Source organism: Homo sapiens, chromosome 4, assembly GCF_000001405.40.
Source record: "Homo sapiens chromosome 4, GRCh38.p14 Primary Assembly".
NCBI classification, from domain to species: Eukaryota; Metazoa; Chordata; class Mammalia; order Primates; family Hominidae; genus Homo; species Homo sapiens.
In genome coordinates, this window is record NC_000004.12 from 107,822,849 (window position 1) to 107,838,128 (window position 15,280).

The 15,280-nt window shown below is 41.6% G+C and overlaps 1 protein-coding gene across 16 annotated transcripts in view, besides 1 other annotated feature; it reads left to right on the forward strand.

Moving 5' to 3' along the window:
- Window positions 1-1,714: 1,714 nt before the first annotated feature.
- SGMS2 (sphingomyelin synthase 2) overlaps window positions 1,715-15,280 on the forward strand; it is a 90,485-nt gene continuing 76,919 nt past the window's right edge. For 6 of the 16 annotated variants that reach the window (NM_001375907.1, XM_047449716.1, XM_047449715.1 and 3 more), the window contains exon 1: window positions 2,084-2,405. The gene's annotated coding sequence lies outside the window, so the exon portion shown is untranslated. Of the gene's footprint in view, window positions 1,946-2,083; window positions 2,406-2,823; window positions 2,962-5,380; window positions 5,484-15,280 lie in introns of those variants that run through there. The other 10 variants (NM_001375908.1, XM_047449719.1, XM_047449714.1 and 7 more) reach the window with 5 other exon arrangements.
- Window positions 4,302-5,501: an enhancer, noted in NCBI's record as "BRD4-independent group 4 enhancer chr4:108748306-108749505 (GRCh37/hg19 assembly coordinates)". NCBI's record gives its function as "activates an origin of replication core promoter dependent on BRD2, P300/CBP, MED14 and CDK7 cofactors, and independent of BRD4, by STARR-seq in HCT116 cells {active_cell/tissue: HCT116}" and the evidence as "EXISTENCE:reporter gene assay evidence [ECO:0000049][PMID:35650434]".

Here is a 15,280-nt window from a genome sequence, read left to right on the forward strand (position 1 = left end):
TGTTGCCTGTAGTTGCCCTGTTTTGCTATCAAATACTATACCTTATTCATTCTATCTAACTATATATATATTTTTTACCCATTACCCATCCCCCCTACCCTTCCCAGCCTCTGGTAACCATCATTCTACTGTCTCCATGAGTTCAATTGTTTTAAATGTTAGCTCCCATGAATAAGTGAGAACATGTGAAATTTGTCTTTCTGTGCCTGGCTTATTTCACTTAACATAATGACCTCTAGTTCCATCTATGTTGTTGCAAATGCCAGGATCTCATTCTTTGTTATGGCTGAATAGTACTCCATGGGTATATGTAACGATTTATCCATTCATCTGTTGATGGACACTTAGGTTGCTTCCAAACCTTGGCTATTGTGAGTAGTGCTGCAATAAACATAGGAGTGCAGGTATCTCTTTGATACACTGATTTCCTTTTTTGGGCATATATACCTAGCAGTGAGATTGCTAGGTCATACGGTATCTCTATTTTTAGTTTTATGAGGAACTTCCATACTGTTCTCCATAGTGGTTATACTTTTTACATTCCCACAAACACAAGGGTTCCTTTTTTTTTCCACAACCTCGCCAGTATTTATTGCCTGAGCACCTTTTCATATACCTGTTTGCTATTTGTATGTCTTCTTTTGAGAAATGTCTATTCAAATCTTTTGCCCATTTATTACTCGGACTATTAGATTTTTTTTTCCTATAGAGTTGTTGGAGCTCCTCATATATTCTGGTTATTAATCCCTTGTCAGATGGATAGTTCCCATTCTGTGGGTTGTCTCTTCAGTTTGTTTCCTTTGCTGTGCAGAAGCTTTTTAGCTTAATATGATCCCATTTGTCCATTTTCTTTGGTTGCCTGTACTGTGACGACATCTTGAAGTTGCGAGTTTGGGGATTGCCTGCCTTGTATATTCTTTTCTGTTACCATCATCTTTAATAGCCACAAATGACTGTTGACCCACATGATATCTGCACTAGAAACCCAAAGATTCCCGTCATTATTTTTGTTGATTATATGGAAGCACCCATAAACCAGCGCAAATCCTAAACATAATTATCTTGTCCAGAAGGAGACATTAATGTAAAACTTATGTCAAGAAAGATTTAGCCACATTCCCTCGGATTGGTCATTCCTAGTTAGAGTCCTTGAGGCTGCCATCGTTTACTTTGAAAACTGCCCAGCAGGTGTATGAATAGCAACTCCAGGACAATGTAGAACCATTACCATTTTAAAGACAGCAATCCCCCTTTTAAAAAACTACTGAGGCCTTCGAAGAAACCACACGGCTGCCTTGGGCCCCAAAAGCTGCGGAAAAGCGCAGTATTCAGTTAAGCAAATAACTACTTACACTGTTTATTTTGGTTACGATTCCTTAAGTGAGAAGTAAATCAATTAACAGGACAAATGACACGATGGTTAGGCACGAAAGGGACAGTGCTGCCACCTCATTAGCTTGGAGCAACCTTCCAGCTCATACCATGCGGACTGATGACTAACCTTGCCAGGCAACGCTGTGAGGTTTGGAAACCCACCTCTTTGACCTAGGCCCGGTCAACACCGATAAACCCTCTGAATCAACGCTGGCGCTCCCAAGCCCACTCACACGCCGTCAGGAAGCAGTTTCCGAAACAGGCCGGGTGCGGGGGTGGGGGATCCCGTTCCAGCCCCACCCCTGAAAGTTGCTGGGAGTGGCACCCAAAGAACTTTCCCAGATTGATCTCTGTTGCCGCTCAGGGAGGTCAGCTCCAGGCCCTCAGCCTTTCGGCCGGGAGCCAAACTGCCCTGCCTGCCAAGCCCCTCCTTCTCTGCACCTTAAACAGCCGCGAGGGGAGAGTCGGCTGGGATTTTCTTCTTAAGAAGTCGCGCAGGTTTTTCGAGCTCCACTCTGCGCCAGGAGAGCCACGGCAGCAGGAACGGGCACTGCTGCCACCGGGCCGACGGGTGAGTCACTGTTTGGAAATGGAGTGGGCGGGCGAGGGTGTGAGAGAATGAATGATGTCAAGAGCGCGCTGGGCGCAGGGCGCAGGGAGCGGGCCGCGCGCGGCGGGCGGGGAGAGCGGGCGCGGGGCCGCGGTCAACACTGAGCGCCGCGCCGTGGGCCGAGTGGGGCGGGGAGACCCAGCCCTCGGCGCGCACGGAGCCTGGCCGGTGCTGCAGCGCCGCCGAGTGCGGCCTCGGGGGCGGCGGCCGCGGGAGGGACCCGGAGAGCTGCTTCCCCTAGTCAGGCCGCGGCGTGGGAGGGCGAGACCCCGAGCAAACTTTCTAGCGGCTTCGGCCCGAGGGTGGTGACGCCCGGGGCTGGTCGCGGCGGCTGCGGCAGCGGGCTCCATCCCCTGGCAAATCCCCTTCCCGGGAGCAAGTGCCTTCAGCTGGGAGTGTCTGGAGCCCTGGCCACCAGCGGGTAAGGAGCGCGCGGAGGGGCCAGGAGGAGGATGGGCTGGGGAGCGGAGAGTCCTCCGAAGCGCGGGAGGGGAAAGGTGGATTGCGAAGCGGGGACGTGGCTCTAATCCGGCCCCCACCCTCCCCGCCCAGGGCATGCTTCCTCGATTTTGTGGTCTGGAGGAGAGATGTGTGCCTTAGTCTCCTTCCTCTGAGCAGTCATCTCATTCATTTGCAACCCATTTCGGGTACCCCGGTCCTGGCGTTGGAAGGGCACAGGTTAAACCCCAGATTGTCCAGAACCACTCCGGAGGTCAGGGCTGAAGTTCAGTTGGTGGAGGAGGGACTGTGTGTGTGTGTTTGTGTGTGTGGTTTTTCTTTTCTTTCTCTTTTTTTTTTTTTTTTTTTTTGAGAGGCACTTACTGATGATGTGTGAACAGTAACAGCCCAGCTCTGGGCAGCCCACACCGAAACCCTTCAACGTGTGGCATTCCAGAGCTGCTCCCTTTACGGAAGGGAAGACTTGGTTTCTCAGCGAAAATAAGGGGCGGGGAACCCCTGTCAACATCCATCCAGAGGTATGGATAATCATTAATTATCCACGGCTTGAAACCAACTCAAAATGTTATGTCCTGTAGTCTTTTTTATTTATTAATGTTGCCGGTCCTCTATTTCAAGTCTTGCCTGCTCTGAAATGACCTTAAAATCATTTTGACATGTGTGTTATATTTTGAAGAGATTCAACTGTTTAGTGTCACTGGATTCGGCGTGGGTTTTCAATCTGTACCTAACTTTTCAAATCCTTGGTTTCATTACCAGTCTCCTCTATTAACGGTGGGTGCTCAGGCACATTAAACATTCTGAACCAGTAAAATGGGATTATAGCTACTTCAGATAATAAGGTGGATTAAATAAGGATTAATAATGAGGATAATAATGAGGATTAAAGCGCAAAAGACTTCTCATAATGTCTGGTACAAAGCAGACCCCAACAAATTATAGCTGTTTATATATAAATAATAGTGTGTTGCAGCTGGCTTAGGTAATAACCAATTAATTTCCACAGAATGTCCTCCTTATAAGCCTGGTGGGCCGAGGGTTAGCATGTGAAATCCTTTGGCAAGTTCCTTAGATTGGGAAGTGATGTTTTCAGCAAGTTAAACATTTTTAGTACGGATACCTGAGAAGGTTATGGTTTCCATCCTGTGTCATGGGAACTGCCATTTACTGTTTAAACAATGTCAGAGCAATGGCTGAAAGTGACAACCTGGAATTTACAGGAAGAAAGGACGTGAGGAAGCTAACTTTACCTTTACCTTTTTTTTTTCCTAAAGAAGCAGTGCAAGCAGTGCAAAATTTCCTCTTTATGGCCCTTTCCTTGGTCTTCTAATGTTCTTACTTCACAATAGTCTGGTTGAAGTGTTTTTTTTTTTAACAAGTTAATGTTTAATTTGGTTCCTTTGGTTTCATTTTTAAGTAAAGCTAGTTGACTTGTGAACCTAGAGGGAAACACTTGGACACCTTGAGGTGGCTGCACCTTGTTCTGAGTTTCTCCCCTCGCAGAATCTCATAAAAGCCCTAGGAAATGTTTGGAAGAAACTTTAGCACTTGTGCACGTTATTGAAGACATTTGCTCTTACCATAACTATAACAACTTACAGGGTGAAAGATCTGGGAGCTGTCCTACGACAGTACCGTGTAGTGAGATCATGGACATGGGAATCCAGGAGACCTGAGGCTCTCTGAGCTGTGTTCCTTTGAGCAAGTTTACTTAAACTCTTTGGGATTTTTGTGGGACTTTAAACAAAATATAGGGGAAAAATAGAAATAATCTTAGAACTATTAAAATAGACAATGGAGTATCAGTGAGAACTTTTTTTAAAAGTGATGCTTTGAGGTGAGATGTTTCTTTTTTAAAGGAATAATTACTGAGAGTTTTGGACAGTTTTAGACTAAACAATGACTTACCCACCTTTAGCGTGTTGTCTCAATGGAGAAATTGAAGGCTTTGTCTTGAACTACTAGTATCAGATATTTATTTGCTTAACGTTTAGTATGCAACAACTACATAACAGCCACTGTGCTAGGGGCCAGCAATGCAAACGAAGGAGATAGTTGCTACCCCAAAGCTTATAGTCCAGTAGAGACCTCAGGCTGTGATTATCAAGAGGGGAAAAAAGGAGTCAAAAAAGGAGAGTGCTGGGGACTTGGGAAGAGACAAGAAGTGATTAGGCCGTCATAGGCTGCCTCCCACTGATAATAAGAGATCTGGTGGCATTCTGAATGGTCTTGAATAGGGGCTCGTAAATTCTTTATGAGGCCGAATAATAAAAGTATGCCTTGCTTTACACAGTAAAATATTACGGACAAGTGATAGCTCTTCAGTTTAAATAATTTTAAATATTCAAAGCAAGCTTGTTTAAATGAAATCTGAAGGGTCAGCTCAGCTCAACTGAGATATATTTGCTGTGTGGCTGGGTGCAGTGGCTCACACCTGTAATTCCAGCACTTTGGGAGGCCGAGGCAGGCAGATCACTTGACGTCAGAAGTTCAAGAGCAGCCTGGCCAATATGGTAAAACTCCATCTCTACTAAAAATAGAAAAATTAGCCGGGCATGTTGGTGCTCGCCTGTAGTCCCAGATACTCGGGAGGCTGACGCAGGAGAATCGCTTGAACCTGGGAGGTGGAGGTTGCAGTGAGCTGAGATTGCGTCACTGCACTCCAGCCTGGGTGACAGAGCTAGACTCTGTCTCAAAACAAAACAAAACAAAACAAAAAAAGATTTATTTGCTGTGAACAAAACACTATGGTAGATTTTTAAGAGGATTATCCTTGTATGAGTATTCCAACTTATTAGTTTTCCCCATATTATAAGTAATGTGTTACTTATGGAAATTTATAAGTATAGGCAAAACAAATCAGCCATAATCTCACCACCCAGAAAATCATTTAACATTTCTATCTGCCCCCTCTTTATATTTTGCCCCTATGCACAGATAACACAAACAGCTAACGAGTATTGATCTTACTATGGGCCAGGCAACGTGACAGTTGCTTTATACATCAAATCTCTTGTAATCCCCACTCCAACCCGGTGAGGTAGGTACTCTTATTACCTTCTTTTACTGAGGATACAACTGTTTTAGGGAAATTAAGTAACTTTCCTGAAGTTGCAGCAGCTGAAATTTATCTCTACAAAAATGGGTTCATTCTCTATGTTCCAACTTACGTTTTCTCTCCTCATCCAAACATGGACAACTGTATGTCACTAACATACTCTTACACAGCATCATTTTTAGTTTTCTGTTTTGTGGCTGTGTCTCAACCAGTCCCCTATCGCTGAACACTTAGTTTGTTGCCAGTGTTCACTATTTTAAGCAGCTCTGCATTAAATCTTTCTAGCTATGTCTGTGTACACATTCTTGATTATTTCAGTTATTTTGCATTTTAAAAAGTGAAACATAATGTTTAATTTAGCTGCCCTTTTTTCTAAACTGTATTCAGAATTAGAGAACTTTTCCCTGTCTCTTTAATTTAAAATTTCAGAGTCTTAATTTCTGCGTTCCTTTAGCATATCTCATAAGATTTCAGCAATAGGATCAACCTTCTCTATGGAGTCGCACAGTGGAGCAGTAGCTCATTATGCAAGGAATTTATCTGTTGAAACGGGAACATACAAACTTTCTTAAAGTACTGTTTGTGTGTGTTATTTTTATTAGCCATGAAGCTAAATGTCTTTTTTGGGGAAGTATAGCAGAATGGAGAGGTGCTAATTTTGCCAAGGAGCTCTCTGAAGGACATTCTACTTCTACACTTTGATGAAGCATTAGAACCCAGTGAGACAGATGAATTAAATACTTTCAGGTGTTGCATTTAGCAGACTTATCACTACCTTTAGAATAAGTTCCATCCATTTTAAATAGGTCACCTGTTTTTTAAAACATTACACATTTGTTGTTTGACATTTTGGGGCTGATTTAATGAAAGTGCGAGAAATTTCTATTAGTTTATTTTTATTATAAATATAAAGCATTTCTTGAAACATTCTCAAGTTTTACAATAATATCACATCTTTGCTACTCTGAGTCAAAATTTTAGTTTTTCATTCACTTTTCTATTTTGATTTCCAGTGTTAATTTATCTTTAAGGTTTTGATAAAGGATGTTAGAATATGAGTAGTGTTCATTTCAGCCACTTCATACAGATACCCAGATCAGTTCACTTTATTAATTTCTAACAATGACTTGTAATTCAAAGCAAAGTTTAAAGAAATAGCTAATAGAATTAAAGTCAAATCAGATAATGAGTTATTTTATAATTGGTTTCCCCTCTATTGACAAACCCCTATACAATTTGAAATTCAGCCTTATAATTTTGTGTTTGTGTTTATTTAAATTGATATCTCGCTTAAAGCTTTCAAACTAAACTTGTGCAACTAACTGAATTATTTCTTTTATATGTACAGTCTTTCCTTTCACTATACCCCATTTACTATTTATATTATTATTCTTTTATTTTTTTAAATTGAGACAGAGTCTTGCTATGTTGCCCAGGCTGGTCTTGAATGCCTGGACTCAAGCGATCCTCCCACCTCAGCCTTCCAACGTGGTGAATAACAGGCATGAGCCACCCTTGTCAGCCATGCAATTCCTTTATTTTTCCTTCCAGCTTTTATTTTGGGTGTGCAGGTTTGTTACATGGGTAAATTATGTGTCACAGGGGTTTGATGTACATATTATTTTGTCACTCAGATAGCATAGTACCTGATAGGTAGTTTTTCAGTCTTCACCCTCCTCCCACCCTCTGCCCTCAAGTAGGCCCCTGTGTCTGTGGTTCCCTTCTTAGGGTCCATGTCTGCTCAGTGTTTAGCTCCCACTTATAAGTGAGAACATGCAGTATTTGGTTTTCTGTTCCTGTGTTAATTCACTTAGGATAATGGCCTCCAGCTACATCCATGTTGCCACAAAGGACATGATTTCATTCATTTTTATGACTGCATAGTATTCCATGGTATGTATGTACCACGTTTTCTTTATCCAGTCCACTGTTGGTGGGCATCTAGGTTGAGTCCATGTGTTTGCTATTGTGAATAGAGCTGCGATGAACATACATGTGCATGTATCTTTATGGTAGAATGATTTTTATTCTTTTGGGTCTATATCTAGTAATGGGATTGCTGGGTCAAATGGTAGTTCTGTTCTAAGTTCTTTGAGAAATCTCTAAACTGCTTTCCACAGTAATTAGCTGAGCCAATTTACATTCCCACCAGCAGTATATAAGTGTTCCCTTTTCTCTGCAACCTTGCCAGCATGTTTTTTGACTTTTTAATAATAGCCATTCTGACTAGTGTGAGATGGTATCTATTGTGGTTTTGATTTGCATTTCTCTAGTAATTAATGATGTTGAGCATTGTTTCCTATGCTTGTTGGCTGTGTGTATGTTGTCTTTTGAGAAGTCAGTTTGTGGGTTTGCCCATTTTTTAATGGGGTTGTTGGTTTTTTTTGCTTGTAAATGTTTAAGTTCCTCATAGATTCTAGATATTAGACCTTAGATAGAGTCCTGTTTCCAAAGAGAAGTGGAGACCACTCAGGAAGACTTGCAGCATTAGTTGAACGTGAAGTTCAGTCTTTGAAACAGAGAGAGGTCAGTTGTGTGGGTTCTCCAAGCTTCTCCAAACACAGAAGATGGAGTTAGTGTTGATAAATAGTGGTGGTTAAATAATGATACTATAAGTACTAGTGAAGATTAAATGAACTGCTATCTTCATCTTCAGACAGCTCTGCAAAATGGAAATTATATCCACTCTGTAGGTGTGGAAGCAATTTGGAAAGTGTTTAAAGGTGAAACAAGGCAAAAGTACCCTTAAAGTAGCCAAGGGTACAGAGCTGGTGGGAAGTAGAGCAGGGAGTTGAGGCCAGGCCCAGCTGATTCTAATGCCATGCACTTCCCAGTACCCTGCATGGCTTTCTGTTTTGTCTCCACTAGCTTCAGCGATATGTTGGGTTTTGAGAGACATAGTTTGATATAGGACTGTATGTGTATGCTCTCCTGGAACATTTCTGTGGTCCGTGCTGCCTTAAGATCATGAAATTATGCCAGAGGTGAACCCTGACAGGCTTAGGCCGGCTTGGACCTGAGTCACAGCACTGCCACTCATCACTAGATACCCTGGAGCAGCTTCCACAGGTGAACCTCCATTTCTTGGCTGTATAATGGGAGTAAAATAATATTTACCCCATAAGGTGACTATACGAATTACATGGCTCCCTGTGTATAAAACATTGAGAGTAATGCCTGCTTCATGGTAAATATTCAAGGGCTCAGCAATCATTATTTTCTGCATATAAGCTGCACTTCTAACTTTTAAAACAAAGAGTTCAGTCCCGTTGTGTCAAATGGAACCATTCTTTCTCGTTAAGGTGGCATGTATCTTTTGGAATGGTATATCCACATTCAAGTGTTACATCTTGGCTGTGCTAATAGGAGCTGGAGCCTGTCCCATATTTTTCCCTCCCCGTTTCCTTTGGGGTTAAAATAAAATGATTGAAGTTGGTTGTACACTGCCATTGAATTCAAGAACTTTCATAAGAAGTGTATAACATCAGCTGTGAATGCTGAAAAGCTTTTCAAGCCACAGTCACAATATGCCTGCCCTCTTAGCAGATGCTGGTAGCGGTAGTCTAGCACAACTGGTACTGTCCCTCACAGAGCTTAGGCTTCTGGGGAGTATTGTACCATGAACACCACTGTCCCAGAAAGTGCCCGGGCCACTAAGAATCACAAACCCTACTGTCCTCGCCAGTGCTGTGCGTCTTTCTTTAGGAGGCCCTGAGACAGTTTATTTAACACAGCTGCTACTGTCTTCTGATATTTGCATTTGTTCAGCGAGTTGTTGAACCACCCAGTTATTACTACCCCAGTAGTTGCTACCAAACTTTCATAGCAACAAAGGGTATTGTTTTGGTTAGTGTAATATACCAGTTCTTCTGCATGAATGTCATTGAATATATTTACGTATATATAAAATATATGCCATATGGTAAATTAGCTAGGGCTGAGAAGTTTGCTCCCTTGAAATATAGTTTCATTGGCAAGTTATAAGCAGCAAGCAGGAGCATTTAAAAGTTTATTTAACAAATACTTATATTCACTATGTGTCAGGGTTTGTTCTAAGTACTTAAAACTGTTACTCATTTACTCCTAAAATTCACTTTAAGGATCCTACTTGAAACACAGGGGGGTTAAGTCACGTACTTAAGGCCACACAGGTGGTAAATAGTTGAATTAGATTTTGAAAGCAGGCAGCTTGACTGCAGAGTCTAATCACTGCACTGTTGCTTGTGGAATCTAGCATGTTTCTCACAGTTTGGGCCCTATTTGTGTCTTTGTGTATGCAATTTTGCCAAAGAAAAAAATTGCACCTGTTCAAACATATGATCAACTCCTTGGTTTACCATGTGGAGGATTACAACTAGATTATATATTTCAATATTGCTATTGAAAGACATTGATAGACTGGGTACTGTGGCTCATGCCTGTAGTCCCAGCACTTTGGGAGGCCAAGGCGGGTGGATAGCTTGAGTCCAGGAGTTTGAGACCAGCCCAGGCAACATGATGCAACCCCTCCTCTACAAAAAACACAAAAATTAGCCAGGTGTAGTGGTGCACACCTGAAGTCCCAGCTATTTGGGAGGCAGATGTGGGAGGTTTGCTTTATCCTGGGAGGCTGAGGCTGCAGTGAGCCAAGATTGCACCACAGCACTCCAGCCTGGGCGACAGAGTGAGATCCTTTCTCAAAAAAGAAAAAAGACGTTGATACTAATTTTCACTATAGTGTTATCAAGCATTTCCCTGTAAAAGCTTCTGAGTGCATGGTCGACCCTGGTGATGATCCGGGAAGGAAGCATGCATTCTCCCATCCCCCACTCAGCACACTCAGCTGAGCAAGACTAGCAGCAATCTCAGGCCTCCTGTCCTAACAGCATTCTTTTTATTTTTTTAGCTTTAGGGTTTTCATTTGTTGTAAATTAAAATAGTTAAAAATCTTTATCGGAGGAGAGTAGCTTGTACACTTGAGGTTGCTTTGTTTTCTAATTACTGTTGGAGATGGTAGTAAGCAGAATAATGGCTCCCCAAAGATGTTCACATCCTAATTCCCAGAACCTATGAATCTGTTGTGTTACACAGCTTGAACATTCCTAGTCTGAAAATCCAAAATGCTCCAAAATCTGAAACTTTTTGAGTGCCAATGTGACACCATAAATGAAAAATTCCACACCTAACGTCACATGATGGGTCGTAGTTAAAACAGTCAAAACTTTGTTTCATGCACAAAATTATTTAGAACATACAAAATTACCTTCAATCTGCATATAAGATGTATATGAAAAGTAATGACAATATTCCAAAATTCAAAAAAAAATCCAAAAGACTTCTGGTCCCAAGCATTTCAGATAAGGGATTCTCACTCATCCTGCACGGAAGGGGGAATTCAGGTTGCAGATGGAGTTAAGGGTGCTGACCAGCTGATGTTGACATTAAGATTATCCTGGGTCATCTGGGTGAGCCCAGTGTAATCACAAGGACCTTCTGAGTGGAAAAGGGAAGCAGAAGAGTCACAGCAGGAGAGTTGACATTATTGGAAAAACTCAAACATCCATTGCTGGCTTTGAAAATGGAAGGAGGCCACAAGCCAAGGAATGCACACAGTCTCCAGAATCTGGAGGAGGCAAGGGAATGAGCTCTCCCGTGGAGCCTCCAGAAAGGAGCACAGTCCTCCTGACACTGTGATGTTTAGCTCAGAGAGATCCATTTTGGACTTCTGACCTCCAGAACTGTAGGAGAAAAAAATCTGTGTTCTTTTAAGCCTCTAACTTTGTGGTAGAGCAGCAGTAGAAACAAATACAGAGCAATCTGTGTTTTGATTTGTTCCTTATGCCAGTCCTAGCAGAGGGCTGCCTGATCTCATGATTTATTACAGACACATTAAGTATAGCAAGGTTTACATTTTGACGGCTGTTTTATTTTATATGTAAAATTAACCACTTTGTGGGAGGGAGAGTTAACTTTTGATAATTCTGTGTATTTCTATACCTAACAATTATTTAAAATGACAGTACCAAGGTTTCCAGGAAAAAAGTGTCTTAGTAATTCTGGAGCAGGTAGAGCCACTTGAATCTTTTTTGTCAGAGTTGCCTAACAGGAATGTGGCTCTGCATCCTATGTAGTTGTGTCATACCTTTGCATTTGTTTAGGGTGAAATGATAGTCCCAGCATGGTGATACTGGGATGGTGGAGATTATCACTTAATTTTTACTCCAGGTTCCTTTTCATTTTTAAAGATCTGGTATTTTCTCATTTGCCTAGCAATGTTATTATGAAATCCCAGAGAACAACAGCTGTAAACAAAAGGTGACATCATTCATTGGGTCATCTATTGTAAGTATGTAAAGGGCTATAGGCTCTTAGAGTAGACAATATCTCAGAATCACAGTGTCAACTTCTGAAATTAAAAGAACAAGAGGCTGGGCCCAGTTGCTCATGCCTGTAATCCCAGTGCTTTGGGAGGCCAAGGTGGGAGGATCACTTAAGGCCAGGAGTTTGAGACCAGTCTGGGCAACATAGCCAGGCCTCCATCCCTATCCCGTGCAAAATTAGCCAGGTGTAGTGGCACACACATGTAGTCCCAGCTACTCAGGAAGCTGAGGCAGGTGAATCTCTTGAGCCCAGGATTTAGAGGTTGCAGTGAGCTATGATCATGCCACTGTACTCCAGCCTGGGCAACAGACCCCATCTCTAAAAATAAAATGAATAAGAATTATAATAATAGATGGGGTTTTTTTTTTAAGGAACCCTGTGATAACAATCCTATATTCAGTTAAAGGTCTTCTCTTTGTACAATGTAGCAATAGCACTAGTGTAAGAAATAAAATCTTGGGAATTTTCTTGTGTCTTAAAAAGTGGAATCAGAAATAGTGTAGAATTTTGGTAATTTTTATGAAATACAGGTGGAAAATTAGCTGCAGTTTCTAGGGGGAAGAGATTGTCTTGTGTAGAAGTATAAAAAAAATTGGAAACTCAAACCATAGAGACAGAATATTTTCATATTTGTAATACTTTTAAATGCATCCTTTTTAGATTTGGAGTCACTTTGCGACTTTCAGAGAAAAATATCTATACATATAAGCTGGATTGAATTCCTCTTATAAATGTGCACGTTTGAATAAAAACTCGATGTGGGAGGATAGGAAGTTTTGGTCTGTATTCTAAAATGCTTTTAGAGATTTTTCTAGGCCCTTGCTTCTCTAATTTAGAAACTTCTTGAGCCCTGGCTCTGTGGGTGCAGTGTCGCATCGGACTCTGACTCATTTGCTTACATTTTATCCTTGTCAAGCAATTCTTGGTTAATAGTTTGCTTTGTCGTGCCAGTATCTCCATAACAGAATGGGGATGTCTTGGCTATATAAGTAGCCAAGTAAGAAAGCTTCACTAGTACCAGAAGGGTATCTGTTCCATCTCCCAGCAATTGTTGATAAAAGATTGATGTTCTCTGTTGCATCTTTTGTTAATATGAACTAAAACTTATTTCTCTTTGATGAACTAGTTTCTGAGCTTACAAAGAGCAGACTCCGGACCAATGTGCCCAGAATCCCTAAAGAGTTAACCATCTCCCAAGAACCCAGTACTGTCAATGGAAATATAACATGAGCCATACATGATAGCCATTTATGTAATTTGAGTTTTCGAACAGCCACATTACAAAAAGCAAAAAGAAACAGATGTAATTATGTTTATAACATTTTATTTAGCCTAGTATACCAAAATATTATATGTAATGTTACCAGTTATAATCAATATAAAATTCTTGAAATTTTTACATTCTTTTCCAAGCCTTTGAAATCTGATGTATATTCTACACTTACAGATATCTCAGTTCAGACCGGCCACACGTCAAGCACTCAGTTGCCACATGTGGCTGGCACCTCCTGTACTGGGCACTGCAGCTCTAACCAGCCTTATCCTTAAGGAAAAATATCCCACATAAATCTGAAGACAATTCATTAAGCGTTGCCATCCAATGACTTTGGCATATTGTATTTTAAAAACTGAATTATATCATGGAGTTACTCAGTGAGTGTCACAGCACACTGGTTCCAGTGTCTTTTGCAAGTATGAGTTAACAAATCTTACAGTGAAGCTTCTCTCTGAGGTTGTCTGTACCTTCGATTTGTGAATATCAATGCCATAAAATGTGCCTGGGCCTATAAATGAAATGTTTAGATTATTTGATTCATGAGTATGGGAAAGATGACAACTCATACACTTTTGCATCTGGTCTGGTCTCTTAGCTCTAGTGCATCAATACATTTAACTCCTCATCTATCACCTCATCGTCTACCTCTTGTCCACCATCATCTTTACCCTATCCTTTCCTTGTTTTTGTGGGTAATGCTGTTTACTAATTTGTGCTCTTCCTCAGTTGCTTATTTTGACAATTTGGGAAGCAAGGCCACTGTAAAATCTAGATCAGAGAAAACATTACTTGATATCAAATATTTGGCGGCCGGAACACATATGATTAGAATGTAAGAAGACCCAGGCATAGTAGAGAGACTGGGAGAGAGGATGGGCAGGGGAGGGAAGGGAGAGGAGAGTACAGTTCTCTGGGGGAAAAATAACTCAGTGCAGATGAAAGATTTCATAGCAGAAAACTCACCTGACCACTGGGGAAGCCACTGCATTTATCAAGCTTCCAGGATAGGTTGCCTTGGATTTCATAAATATATTGACTTAATCAAATAACTTCATGACACAGATTGCTGAGATGCAGTCCCAAGCCCTCCTCCATTCCTTTGGAAATTGATTAATGTATTTAACACTTTTTTTTGCACTTGCTAGGTGCTAGACCTCATTTTTGATTCTGGGGATTCAGCAGTAAACAGGAGTCTAGGTTTCTCCTCCAATGGAAATTGGTTGTATATGTTGAGAGAGGAAAAGGTGTTGAAAAGCAGGACTGATAGGATGATAGGCAAGTAAAACCAATGAATAAGTTGAGATTTGGACTAGTTATTGGAAGGAAGTAGAGAGTGACTGGGGCAGCCTACCCTAGGACAGTCAGGAAAGGTTTGTCAGAAGAGGTCAGATTTACACTGAGTTGTAAAGGCTGAGAAAGACTCAGCAGAGTGAACAGAATGTACAACCTGTGGAGGGAAAAAGCGTGATTACACAGGAAAGGGAAGAAGGCCAATCTGCTGCAGCCTGTGAGCAGCAGAAGTAGGCAAGAGATGGGTGTGGCGAGGCAGGCAGGACCGAGTTGGGTAGGGCTGGCATGCTTTGTAAGGAGTATTAGTCTTGTTCCAAATGCCACGAGAAGGCATTGTGATGTGACATAAGGAGAATGAGGTCTGATTTACATCTGTAATAGATCCCTCTGGCTGCTGGGCAGAGAGTGGAGTAGGAGGGGGTTAGAGCAGAAGCAAGGAGATGGTTATGAGGCTATTGGGAGCATTCTGTATGAGAATTGATGCAGCTTGGAGAAGGGTGGTGGTGGTGGAGATCGAGAATGTTGGATGGGTTTGAAAGTACTGGAGACTTACAGATATGATATGTGGCATAACAGTAGAAAAAATTAAGCATGACTCCTAGTTTTTTTTGTGGGTAAAGAGTTGTAGTGAATGGTGGTGTAGTTTAGCCATTGATTAGAGTTGCCCATTAGTCATCCTAATGGTGACAGATGTCAAATAGCCAGTTGTGATGCAGAGACCTGCATTCAGGGGTGAGATCAGGGCCAGAGTTGTGTCAGTATAGAAGTGATATATAAAGTTATGGGAAGTCTAGAATCACCAGGGAATATTTTGTAGGCAGAGAGGCCCTGAGGAATAACAGTTAATAGGTCA